The following is a 13396-nucleotide window of genomic DNA, read 5'->3' as shown; positions in this document are numbered from 1 at the left end:
TTAATTACTCAAGTGTAGACCAGAATATTATTTCAAAACAAACCTAGACCCTAATTAGGAGTTCACAGTCTTGTGGCCACCAGAAATCCTATCTTTAGGATCTTTAAGTCACATACTTAACGTCCAAAACTCTGAAGCTGGGGCCCTTTCAAAGAAAGGATGGGAAAGATGCAGCCTGGTGGATATGGTTGGATGAAAGTCACTGGTAAACTGGGCTGTAGCTGGAGAGGGCCGTTATCCCTAAACTGTGCACAGCCTGGAGTGCAAGATTAACAGAAGGGTGTGACTGCAGAACACAGGTGGGAAGTTTTGGCAAGGCCTCCCAGAAGCAGCCAAAGGCCTTGTCTTGCTGCCCTCTATGTGCCCTTCCCCTCATCCCCACCCACAAGGGTATCTTCACATCCTTCATCACCTTTGCTACTTCCATCCTTGCTCAGGCCAGGGCAGGTTGGCACCAGCCAGCAGGTGACCAGAAACCCAGTGCAGAGTGCTGAATGAAAGATTGCCACGGTCCTTTTATTTACCTTCCCAGGGCTGCTGGACTCGAGACTAGATAATGTCTGTGGCCATTGAGACAAGTAGCAAAAGAGCAAACACTTGCGCCCTTAAAATACATTTGCAAAGTACAAAATTCCAGCCTCTAGAAGACAGGGCCCTATTGTGGTTGGCACTTACCACTCCTATGGTTATTCAATAAATGTTTATTATAAGTGAAAGCAAGCTTGCCTGGTACCATACTCGGGTTACTACTGGTAAAAAGAAAGTGCTCCCTGACTGTGAATGTTATGTGGTTTTCTTTCATAAGGAAGTGCTTTTACTAGTAAGATTGAGTCTAGAATGTTCCAGTGCAAATGTACCAATTATGATGAGAATTGTCCCATCACCACTTTGTGGGTGGGAAAACGTGAAGCCTAGAGCCCACCACTTACCAGGAATTCCACTCAGGAATGGATCTGGCATTCTCCCCAGTGTGTGTAGTTATACCCAGACTTGGTTTGGGGCTTGGACCTACCGCCATCTCTATTCCCTGGAGTCTCTGGGGCACGGATTCCACTTTCACCTGTTTACCTGTTCCTCTGTCAAGCTCTTGGATGTGGTATCCCTAGTGCCTACCCTTTATTGCGGGAAAACTTTGACAGAATACAGTCTTAATAGGAAATAACCCAAAAGATGACTAAAAATCTCATTTGTCCCACATTCCTGACCATAAGCTAACCAAGGAAGCTGGACTGTTAGCGCTAATATGAAGACATGTCTTCAACCTCTTACAGGAAGTTGCAGACATATGGGAGCCCCAAACAGAATTTTTTGCCTCTACTGAATACAATTTTGCCTTCTGGCTTTTTTTCTTTATCATAAGCTTCTAAGTTATTAAAAATTCTTTGTAAATATTTTAAATGGCTGTGATTTTTTTTTCCTACACACTATACATGTATTTCTGATATTTGGGTTGTTCCAGTTTTTAAAATTATAATTAATACTACATTGAATAAATACTGGTTTTCATTTCTAGTTTCCAGAGGACATAGGTAGGCCCTGTGCCAAAGAATATAAAGATTATGAAGAATCTCAATAAAATCCACATCAAATTTTAATGCTCCTCTTATATACCCACCCAATTCTTACTTGGCTGCATAAATGACAAGATAGATAGACTGGCACAGACAATACAGGCAAATTTGTCAACAGATTTAATTTCTGGGTTAGGCGGTCTGTTGATGAGCTGGGTGGAAGGGAGAAAGAAGTGAGTTTGAGAGTAACTCTCTAGATGATGATACTTCACATGCAGAAAGACACTTTAGAGTCAAATATAATGAGTTGATCATATTAATACTAACATTACTAATCCTTCAAGGTCCAGTTCCTGTGTAACCTTTTCCATAAAACTAATGGTGCTTCTCCTTAGCCAAAGGACAGATAAGATACCTCTCTCTGAGCTCTAATATCTTAGGGTTTCTCTTGTTGTTTACCACTTCTGTAATACATTTTCCCTGAAAATACGATCATCTTTAGAGTTTTTGCTATTTATAAGGGTAATATGTGCATGATATGAACAATTTAAAATAACTCAGAAATTGAAAGCAAAAAATAACTCATCTGTTACCCCCTATATCCCAGCATTTTAACATAATGGTGTGGTTTATAGCCTCCATTGTTTTTTTAACCCACATATTGGCAAGAATAAAATGCATGTGTTACAGACACACGCCCACCAAAATGTAGTTTAAAATATGCTGGATTAGTACCTATAATCCCAGCTACTTGGGAGGCTGAGGAGGGAGGATCGCTCGAGCCCAGGAGCTTGAGGCCAGCCTGGGCAACATAGACCCCAGCTGTTAAAAATCGTTTAAGGCCGGGCGCAGTGGCTCACACCTGTAATCCGAGCACTTTGGGAGGCCAAGGAGGGTGGATTGCCTTAGTTCAGGAGTTCGAGAGCAGCCTCGGTAACACGGTGAAATCCCACCTCTAATAAAATAAAAAAAAAAATTTAGCTGGGCGTGGCAGCGTGCCCCTGTAGTCCCAGCTACTCAGGAGGCTGAGGCAGGAGAATTGCTTGAACCCAGGAGGCGGAGCTTGCAGTGAGCCAAGATCACGCCACTGCACTCCAGCCTGGGCGACAGAGCGAGACTCCGTCTCAAAAAGAAAAAAAATTTTAAAATAAATAGACTGGACATATTGGACATACACTGTTCTGTACTCTACTTCCCCCTTAACTCAACAATTTACTCAACAATATTTATATGCATTGATGTGGAAAAATATTCATTCTTCTTACCAGCTACACATATCATTCCATTGTATGGTTATTCAGAGCTCCTTTAATGACCATCTCCCTAAGAGGCACGTAGCAGATTTCTATATTTTCTCTGTTATAAACAGTGCTGTATTCATATCCTTGTACTCATATTCTGGAGGCATCTGTCCTTAATAGCCATGAGTGGTTCTGCTGAGTCAAAGGGTATAGATGTCCTATACATAAAGGCCTCGCTTGGGTGCCAGGCATACCCTTGGAGATTAACAGAAACTCCCAGGAGCCAGGAGGTAGACCTTACCGACCACATTGGTATGCCCCATAAAGCCTAACATGGCTGAGCGCGTTGGCTCATGCCTGTAATCCCAGCACTTTGGGAGGCTGAGGTGGGCGGATCACTTGAGGCCAGGAGTTTGAGACCAGCCTGGCCAATATAGCAAGACTCCGTGTGTCTATTAAAAAAAAAAAAAAAAAAAAAAGGTCTAACAAAGCAGACTGCCCTGGGCATGGTTCACAGTCAAATTCTATTTGCATTAACCATGTATTAATTTAGTTGTTCCACGGTAGTTATTAACTGGTTACTATGTGTTCTAGACCCTGGGGACTCATACAGCAGCCGGCAGCAAGCGTGGTCACAGACCCCTGTCCTCACCAAGCACACATCCTGCCCATGGTGCTGGCAGATCCCTCTCTGAAGAGTCCAGGAGAGTCAATAAGGAAGAGCATGTACATTTAGTTCCAAGGGCAAATGGGTAAGAAATTAAGAACATGGCTTCACTTGCCTCATATCTCTATAGTAGCCTTTCCCAAAGTGCATCTACTAAGGGAATGATTTTCCTGGTCGGTGTCCTTTGAGAAATGCTGCACATTCCAGAGCTATCCCTGACATATACATCACTAACATGCTAGAGGCTCCTATTTTACCCAGCATCCCAAACTTTTTTGAACACAAAGCCTGTTTGCAGCAACTCCTGTTAACACTCTCCCTTCCATGGAGCACGCTTGAGGACTCTGCTCCATGGCTCATGGTATGTCAAGGTGAGAGGAGTATCATCCCCTTAACCCACTCCCCATCACTTTAACTCACAGGTGGAAGGCTGAAGGATATGACAGAAGACCTACATTTTGATCTGGAAACCAATTACTAAATGGCACCCATAATTTAAATGAGATGGTTATCAGTATGGAAACATTCGAGTATACAGTTCCATCTGACAACTACTGAAGAGGGCCAACTGGGTGCCAGGCATCCCAAGGAAGACACAATCCAGGACCTTCTGGAATTGTCTGTCATAACACACTTGCTGCTGTCCTGGGTGAAGAGACCTTGCTTAGCAAGCAGCAGCATGAAGACACTGAGGTCTCTCCCCTTCTTATCCAAGTGAGTGTTCACTTGGGCCTCTTCTCTGACAGACTTACATATAAGTAGTGTGACCGAAGGGGGCAGAAACCATGCTCATGGAGAATCCAAAATGGCACCAGAGTCCCAGGGCTTGGTTCTCAGGACTTGACATTAGCATTCTGCTTTATTTTGGGTCCCCAAGTTACTTCTGCAGCTATTCGCAGAGCACAGCACACTGTCCCGGACATTTCTGGGTCATTTCTTGCTCGGGTGGATGTAGGTGCAAGGGGTCTTGCCATGGGCCTGCTCTTCATACAATCCTTACTTCCCCCAAACCTGGGCTCCCTCCTCAAGGAGGTACCCCATCTCCCCCATTCCTCCACCCATGGGGCAAAGTCAAAACTGCAGCCCTTTGCCTTTTCACCTATGCCCAATGGCTTACCAAATTTTGCTGATTCTGACTTCCAAATCCATCCATCGTTTTTTCATCCCCACTGCTGCCACCCTGGCCAGGACACCAGATTTCTCACAAGTCCCAACAACATTCTCTTCTGGGGGCTCCTCAGCCCAGCCCACCTTGCACGCCCCTGCCCCCTCCCCAACACGGTCTCCATGCAGTAGCAGAGGGACCGTTCTCAATCATGGATCTGACCTGCACCACCCTTCTCCAATGACTGTGCTGCTCTTAGGGTAAGATGTGACCTCCTCCTGCTTATTGTTTCTGAACACAACACTCAAACTCCTAAGTTGAACTATATTGAGCCTTTTTTTTTTTTTTTTTTTTTTGAGATGGAGTCTCACTCTGTCGCCCATGCTGGAGTGCAGTGGCACAATCTTAGCTCACTGCAGCCTCCACCTCCTGGGTTCAAGCGATTATCCTGCCTTAGCCTCCCGAGTAGTTGGGATTACAGGTGTGCACCATCATGCCCGGCTAATTTTTTCTACTTTTAGTAGAGACAGGGTTTCGCCATGTTGGCCAGGCTGGTCTTGAACTCCTGGCCTCAGGTGATCCACCCTCCTTGGCCTCCCAAAGTGCTGGGATTACAGGCCTGAGCCACCACACCCGGCCTAGACTGAGCTTCTTTTAGTTCTCTTCAAAATCCCAAACTCAATGGTGGCCACATGTGGGGTAACAGGAGACCAACAATGAGGAGCACATTACCCACCCCCTGCCACAGGGTTCATTTACTGCTTCTCTCTCTGTTCAGGTATTATTCCCTCAGGCTGCGGTGCCCAGTGGCCTTATGCTGTGCTCCACCACTGTGGCACTTATGACATCACACTGTCATTGTTTACTTAAAATGCCTCCTTCACTAAAGGGCAGCCAGTGTGTCAGACTTCTTTCCTGCTGAATTCCCAGAACCCGGCAAAAGGCCTGGCACAGGGTAAATGGCCAAAAAATGTTTGTTGATTAACCTAAAAGATCAGCTTTTGCCCTAGGGGTTAGCATCAAACACCATGGGCCCTGCTACTGAAAGCACTGATTGCAGCTCACTCTAGGCCACCTATCTCCTCCCTTTGACTTTTTAGAAAGGTCTGTTCTCTACCAAATTTTCTTGGAACATAATATTCTTCGCACTTTAAGATTCTCAGGATTCGGTTTCTTATTACTGGTGCCATCTTCTGCTGTTGCATTTCCTGACAGCCTTTTTACTGGTTGTCAGTTCGAATGCAGACATCGTGTCTCCTCCGGCCAACCTTGACCCCAGGCACTAAAAGTGGCTTGGCCTTGTTGTGGATCTGTATCAGGCCCCAGCCCCTGCGTGTGCTCATCTCTGGATATCAAAGCTCTCTGAAAACAAGCCCAACCACTTGCAGTGTTTGTTCCATCCATTCTGCAGGAATGGGAGCCTCCCTTAGTACCTTTACCAAAAGAAAGCTGGCCAGATGACTACCCTTGGCCATGTCCACAAGAACAGGCTGTATGTGAATTTTTACAGCCTCCTCCCATTATCACTAGGGGGCCTTGCCTTTCCTCCAGCCTAAAAGACTGATGGAGTTCATCCTGCAACCTGCGGAGAAATATGGCCACACCATACAGCGGCCCAACCCCAGGAAAGTGCAGGTTTGGCTGCTTTCCCCACCTGGTGCGAAGCTCTGGCGCCTTGGCTCTCTGGGTGAACTGGTGGCAAATTCTACCACAGCTTCAAAATCCCCAACTCAATGGTGCCCTAATTTGGGGTAACAAGAGACTTAAGCATAGGCTTGAAGGCTTGAGAGACACAGCCATCTAAAGCCGGAGCCTGGAACACGTCACTGCTGAAATGCAGGGCGGCAGGAACCAGCCCTGTTTCTGTTGCCGCCACCAGGCCTGCTCCTGTGGTCAGGGAGGGGAAAAGGGCGGTTAACACGATGGAGAGCACCCAGCCGGTCCTAGGGACTGGCCACGCCTGACGCCCACAGGTCCCTCTTGGCGGGTCCTACCCCAGGCCAGAGAGCCCAGGCTCTTTGAGTCCTGTTATCCCCCTCCCTCTGGAGGCCACTAAGTGGATTTTAAATCCTTACTCCTCACTTTTTCCTTTCCTCCTCCTCGAGTTCTTCACTTAGTAGTGACCACCCAGGCACCAGGCTCTTGAACATTCTGGTCAGCTGCTGTTCTCTGAAGCATGAGTCACTGCATGACACAGGACATTCTCGCTGGGCAAGGGGGCTCCCAAGGCCTGCCTCACCAAGGGCCCTGTTTTCCGACAGAAACTTTTCATTCCATAGGAAATGAGGTCACACACCAAGAGCACACGGGTAACCGGTGAGAAAATCCTGGTGCCAGGAACGGGGGTGGTGGTGGTGGTAGAAGAGGAGAGGCAAACTAGACCCTAACACTCACGAACCAGCAGGGGGAATCACCTGTGGTTCTTGGGTAATTTGTACTAGGGTGGGGATGAGGAGGGTGGAGGAAAGGGACGCACACAGCTTTAAAAAAATATCTGGTTTCTTTTAAAGTATATACAACATACATGATTTTACTAAGCCAAACTTGCAGGGCATTTGGCTAGCTTACTTTCAAGACTTGGAGCCCCTTAATCTACGGCCTACAGGAGACCAACACACAGGAGGTAAAGAGGGGCAGGGGCAGGGGCAGCGGCAGGAGCGGGGGCGAGAGGCCAGGGCGGCCAGGCGGGCTTCACTGCTTGGGGGGTTGGGAGGTGAGGGTGGGTGGCGCAGTGCTGCCAGCTCCACCCGCCGGCTCCTCGCTCCAGGGCTTGGCTGCAGCCCGGCCTGACCTTCCAGGTTTCCCTGGCAGGAGATCAAAGCGCTGAAGCCACAAACACAGCTCAGAACTCCGAGGCCCTGCGGCCAACATCCCCCCTCCCGCGGCTCCTCCCCGCGCCAGGAGCCCTCCTCCTCCCCACTCCCACCCGTCGTGTACCGCCCTGCAGGGTCCCTCCTCCCCTCCACCAGCCCTGCTTCTCTATGTTCCCCCCACCCCCGAACCCCCAATCCAGCGGGCCGGGACTTTCGGGGCGGGCTGCCATCCGGCCTTCTCCGACCCGGGAAAGTGCCCTCCTCGCCACCGGCCGCGCCCCTCCCCACCGGGAGAAGATATTTCTCGCCATAATTAAAGTCATTAAGCCTCCAAAGGCTCCCGTCGGCTGCAGGTTCTGAGTTCCGGAACGAAGATGATGCATTTTAAGTCCTAGTTAAGATTATGCTGATCTATTTAGGAGACATGTAGCAGCGAGAATTCAGCGGTTAAGTTAGTGGTTAAGGCTGCCTAAGTTTAAATAGTGTTACTTATTCTCAAAATATGTAGCAGCCCCACTTAATTTCTCCTAATTAAAGGTACCCGACTTTAGAGGCTGGAGTCCGCGGCCGGGTCGCGGCGCCATTGCACAGGTTGGTACCCTTTTCACAATCAGAAACTAGTGGGTGTCAAACGGAAATGCATTTCCCTAGATCTTAATCTTAAACATAGACGTTTAGGCCAGTTCCAAGAAACACAATGATCCTCTTTGTTTTAACACCTGACAAGGAGCACCAAAAACCCAGGAAAGCCTGTCCACACCCTCCTGCTCCATCGATACTGTGGGGTGAAAGATGTTATGGAAAAAACCGCAGTTGGGTTGTTTCATTACCTGCCTATGCCTGGAAGATAAGCTTTTGGAAGAACCTGGAAGTCGTTATCTTGGTTGAGTTTCCAGAAGTCCCACTTCAGGCCAAATCTTATATAGTCAGCAACTAGAAACTTCAAAAAGGACCACTCCCCTTCAATGCATATGGCAACTAATTAATATAAACAAGTGTTAATTAGGTGGCAGCATCAGGCTTAACGAGGAACAACAGTGCCTGCAAAGTCTGGACACCCTACAGCCTCTCTGGAGGATGAGAGGCGGCGGGCAGGCTCTCTCTGAAGGCTGAGTTCCTCACAGGGGCAGCTATGCTTCTCAACCTTCGCTCACGGAGGAGGCAACTGGGGAGATTAAAAAACACAAAAACAAAAACAAAAAAACTCGAGCCCAGGACCTACCCCTAGAGATGATTTGATCTATATAGATAAAACCCCAGCAGCAATATATTTTTTAGAAGTTTCGCAGTTATTTTAAAATTCAGATAGGGCAGAGAACCACTGATCTAACCTAAAATTGCACACGGCCTCTGGCATGACTGTCCAGTGCACCTTCTGGAGCTCCTCTCCTGATTCAGTTGGACTGATGTAGACCCAGAGGCCATCTAACCAGCATGCACTGGGACTACTTACAATGAGGCAAATGAAGGTGTTAGAAAATTGCTGAATCAGGTGGTAAACTCATTGAGAAGGCAGAAGATTATTTTGATTACATGATTTTCTTATTTTTATGAAGAGGAAGGTAATTTGGATGAAAGCATTTTTGCTTGCTTCTAACATTCGTGGGACAGGGGACAAGGGCTAACAAACTAGTAAATAAAATAGATCTTACTCTTCTATCTTGACATATGTACCTTCATAAGAACTTGAAACATAGGTTCCAGGTGAGCTTTCCAACTCCTTGGAGCTCCTTGCCAGAGCATGTCAGTGTGGAGACAGCTGACCCCTGGTCCACCCTGCACTTTGAGGGGGTTGTACACAGGCAGGTGAACACCCTAGGCTTTGAGGCCAAGCTGTGTCTACATCCTTGGGAAGAGGGGCATGCTGCCAGTGCACTGTGCCTCCAGGAGGATGGTCCTAGAAGAGAGGTCTGTAAGGGCTAGAAACCAACACAAGGTCATCTTAGGGGAGTTTAGGGATGCTGGGAATGGTTTGGACAGGGGCTTCCCCTTGGACTCCTCACCCTGTGGCCAGAAGGTTTAAAAGAGGGGCCTTAAAGCACGGCCCCCCTGCTTGGTCATAGAGTGGTACTGAGACTCCAAGAGGGAAAGTAAGGAAAGTACCTATTAATGTTCCAGGCAAGGCACCGAGTGCTTTCAAATGATACTGAATCTGCAGAGCAACTCTGCAAGGGAGGTGGTGTTGATCCCCATTTTACAGCTGGAGGCTCAAAGGTTACGTAACTTGCCCATGGATACTCAGCCACAAAGTGGAGAGCTGACATTTGACCTAAGCCTCTCTCCATAATCCCAGGCCAGAGAAATACTCATGTTGTCCCAGGGGGTTCTAAAATCAAGTGTAATGGAGATACGTACACATATATCAATGTGAATGCTGAACCTCCAAATATTCCATTAATAGCTTATGTAAGTATTATATTTCCTGGTAACACAAGGAAATTCCAGATAGCTCTTATCCTAACCCACTTGGTCTCCCTTCTCTTGAAATTTCCCTTTACAAATGTCGTGCAGCTCATGTAGTCAACATAAGGAGGGATTTTTTTTCTCCCCTTGCTGCCTATCACACTCATTGCATCACATCTGGCCCTCCCTGAGAGGTGGCAGGGTGGAACATTTTCCTACTTTTGTACAGGGTTACCTGCTTAAAAACTCAGGCCTATTTAGTCAAAGACTATTTCATCCAAAGGCGTTATATTCATTGCCATTGTAGCCAATGCAAGTTCACAAACACTACAACTTTCATCCTTTATTCTTAAGGATCTAAGTTGTTTCAAAATGGTCCCCTGTGTACCCTATGATATTGACTCCTTTTACGTGATTTTGTATTAGTAGAGTTTAAGAAAATTTCATTATCTCTTCACCTTAAACCAAAATCATTTATAACAGCTACAGAATCAAATCCCTTTCTCTAGAGAAGGGCAGTTACATGGCCCCCCTCAGCCATGTTATTCTTATCTGGGTGCAGTCAGTTTGATGACACCCTACCAAAGCCAGGCTGGCCAACCCAGGCTCTTTTTAGCACTGCTATAGTGGAAGAGCAGGAAGAAAAGGGGGTATCTCACACTGCTTGGACTGAAATCCTAGCTCACCTTCCCAGCTCTGTGACTGTGAGCATGTGATGAATTTTCTGTTTTATTTCATCTGCACAATGGGGATGACACTGAATCTATCTCCTGAAGGCTTCTGGAAGTTGACATGACCATGTTACACTTCATATACATGCAGGGACGTCCCAGTTTAGGCCAAGAAATGATGACACAGCATGAGTCTGGCAGAGGGTGGTCAGTGGCTGTCAGCCCAGTGGTATGTCGGAATGCCTGGGGGAGCTTATTAAATAATAGAGGGGGCCAGGCATGGTGGCTCACGCCTGTAATCCCAGCACTTCAAGAGGCCGAGGCGGGCAGATAACCTGAGGTCAGGAGTTCGAGACCAGCCTGGCCAACATGGTGAAACCCCGTCTCTACTACAAATACAAAAATTAGCTGGGCATGGTGGCAGGCACCTGTAATCCCAACTACTCGGGAGGCTGAGGCAGGAGAATCACTTGAACCCGGGAGGCGGAGGTTGCAGTGAGCCAAGATCGCGCCATTGCACTCCAGCCTGGGGGACAAGAGTGAGACTTCATCTCAAAAATAAATAAATAAATAAATAAAATTAAATAAAAAATAGAGGGGTAGACTCCTTCCTGGAGATTGACTAATGGGAACCGGGCTGGAGGTAGATCTAGCCTTTGTAGGTTTGAAAGCTCCTCAGGCCAACTCTTAGGTGCAGCCAAGATGCGTAACCACAGACCAAGATGCTAAGGAGGTAAGAGAGGGAGAGATGGTGAGCTGGGAATGTGCTTCTTAACCTAACTCATCAAGCCCTTGTTCTTTCCCTCCTAGAATGGCCCAACTGCTTTCTCAGCTACATTTCTGGTTTTCAAGAAACCCACTTATGCTACTCTACCTCAGACTTAAGGAAAGCGCTTGTTGAAGAGAAAATGTGTCTTCGAGGCAATAAACAATTGAGCTTTTTGTGATGTCTGGGGAAAGATACCCCCAAAGCAGAAGTCTGGGTCCCTCACAATCAAAAGCCTCCAAACAACAATGATCACAGACATCCTCTGGTCACCAGGTCTTGGCATGGCACCTGGAACCCAGCAGGCACAAAAATGCTGGGTGGACACAGCCATGGGCACAAGAGCAACCATTTATACGGGGCAAGCTTTTGGGGTTTGTGGCAGAAGTCCTCCTGACTTTTGGGTCCAGGCCTTTGGCCTCCATGCCACAGGAGTCCCAGGGTCTTGCATAGGAGCCTCTGCCTTGAGTAGGAGACAGCAATGGAATGCAAGTTCCAGATGGGTCTTCTGCGATAACAGGATAAAAATAGAGAACGATGAGAATCTCAAGGACACCATTTTCAGGTTTAAGACCTATTTTTAAAAAATGAAACACATGCTTTCTTGAAGTAAGCCCTCAAACATACTCTGAACTGAGCTAACCAAGTCACAGAACTTGTATGTCAACTGCCCAACTAATATCCACTTATCTGTGATAAGTGGTGACGGTTCTGCCACTAGAAGGAATTTTAGTGATGGGGTCTGGGGGTGTGGAGAAGGGATATTGGCCATAGCAGTCATGAGTTAGGCTGTAAAACATAAGTTAAACGCAGAGTGTCCTATATTGAATTAGACCCTAAAATGTGCTATATTTTCGGGTCTAATTCAAGTAACAAGTGCTATAATCACCTTTCCATAGGCTAACAGAATGAAGGCTGTGTCAAATCTATGCTTTTATTTCTCCCAAATGCGTTCCAGTCCTGGTACTCAATAAATAGTCATCACAATGGTGCTGATGATGGAGGGGGAAGGAGAAAAGTGGCAGAGTCATCAAGCTAGCCTTCCTCAGCCCGACAGCTAATGCTAGCTGGAGAATAAAGGTGCTCCCAAGCATCCCTACCACGCATCCGGGGTGTAACAATAATCATTAATACTACTTTCTGTCCTGTGTTCACAATCCCATCAATGCCCCTTTCGGGCTGGAAAGCAGTGAGGGGCTTGCAATCCACTAGGTTAAAGAAATGGAACTAGAGGCTGGACGCGGTGGCTCATGCCTATAATCCCAGCACTTTGGGAGGCTGAGGCAGGCAGATCACCTGCGGTCCGGAGTTTGAGACCAGCCTGGCCAATATGGTGAAACCCCGTCTCTACTAAAAATACAAAAAATTAGCCGGGCATGTTGGCCTGCACCTGTAATCCCAGGTACTCAGGAGGCTGCCGTGAGCCTAGATCATGCGCTTGTATTCCAGGCTGGGTGACAGAGCAAGACTCCGTCTCAAAAAAAAAAAAGAAAGAAAGAGAAATGGAACTAGACCAACAAGGGAAACAAATGGATTAAGAGTTTAATTGGGTGGGATTATTTTGAAGGATGCTCAATACACTTCTGCAATGGAGCATCCTGGATGGGGGTGATGTGTGCCATAGGCTGGTGTGGTCAGGAAAGACTTCATGGAGGCCAAGCTGCCAGAATGAAGAGGAAGAGAAGGCCAGCCAGCAGCTGGATATCAAAGGTGCTGGTGGAGGCAGCAGACACACCAAGTATAGGGGAGAGGTTAGCAAAAGGTGGCATAGAGGCTGGGTATGGTGGCTCACATCTGTAATCCCAGCACTTTGGGAGGCCGAGGCGGGTGGATCACTTGAGGTCAGGAGTTCGAGATCAGCCTGGCCAACATGGTGAAACCCCGTCTCTACTAAAAATACAAAAATTAGCCAGGTGTGGTGGTGGGCACCTGTAATCCCAGCTATTCAGGAGGCTGAGGCAGGAGAATTGCTTGAACCTGGGATGTGGAGGTTGTAGTGAGCGAAGATGGCACCACTGCACTCCAGCCTGGGCGACAGAGCGAGATTCTGTCTTCAAAAAAAAAAAAAAAAAAAAAAGTAGCACAGGGTTGCATGGTTGGGTATTATTATCCACTCACATGGCCATTGTATAAACTTAACAACTATTTAGTGATTACCCTTTCTGTTGGTGGCAGCTGGCATGCCCACAGTTTAGTTTCTGGAACACAGCATCCAAGCA

The 13396-nt window shown here is 47.2% G+C and overlaps 1 protein-coding gene and 1 long non-coding RNA gene across 3 annotated transcripts in view, besides 1 other annotated feature; one reads left to right on the top strand and one right to left on the bottom strand.

Moving 5' to 3' along the window:
• ZNRF3 (zinc and ring finger 3) overlaps positions 1 to 13396 on the bottom strand; it is a 173917-nt gene that overhangs the window by 19258 nt on the left and 141263 nt on the right. The window lies entirely within an intron of this gene.
• Positions 6755 to 13232, top strand: ZNRF3-AS1 (ZNRF3 antisense RNA 1). Its single transcript, NR_046851.1, has 3 exons — positions 6755 to 6840; positions 7075 to 7147; positions 11222 to 13232. It is a non-coding gene; the product is annotated as a ZNRF3 antisense RNA 1 (long non-coding RNA).
• Positions 6806 to 6975: an enhancer, noted in NCBI's record as "experimental_63211 CRE fragment used in MPRA reporter constructs". NCBI's record gives its function as "activates a minimal promoter by MPRAs in K562 erythroleukemia cells, with activity observed for both the introgressed and non-introgressed 22:29427329 variant alleles {active_cell/tissue: K562}" and the evidence as "EXISTENCE:reporter gene assay evidence [ECO:0000049][PMID:34662402]".

This window comes from Homo sapiens, chromosome 22 (genome assembly GCF_000001405.40).
Source record: "Homo sapiens chromosome 22, GRCh38.p14 Primary Assembly".
NCBI classification, from domain to species: Eukaryota; Metazoa; Chordata; class Mammalia; order Primates; family Hominidae; genus Homo; species Homo sapiens.
The sequence above is the reverse complement of the archived record's forward strand: the minus strand, read 5'-3'. Positions and strand labels throughout refer to the sequence as shown.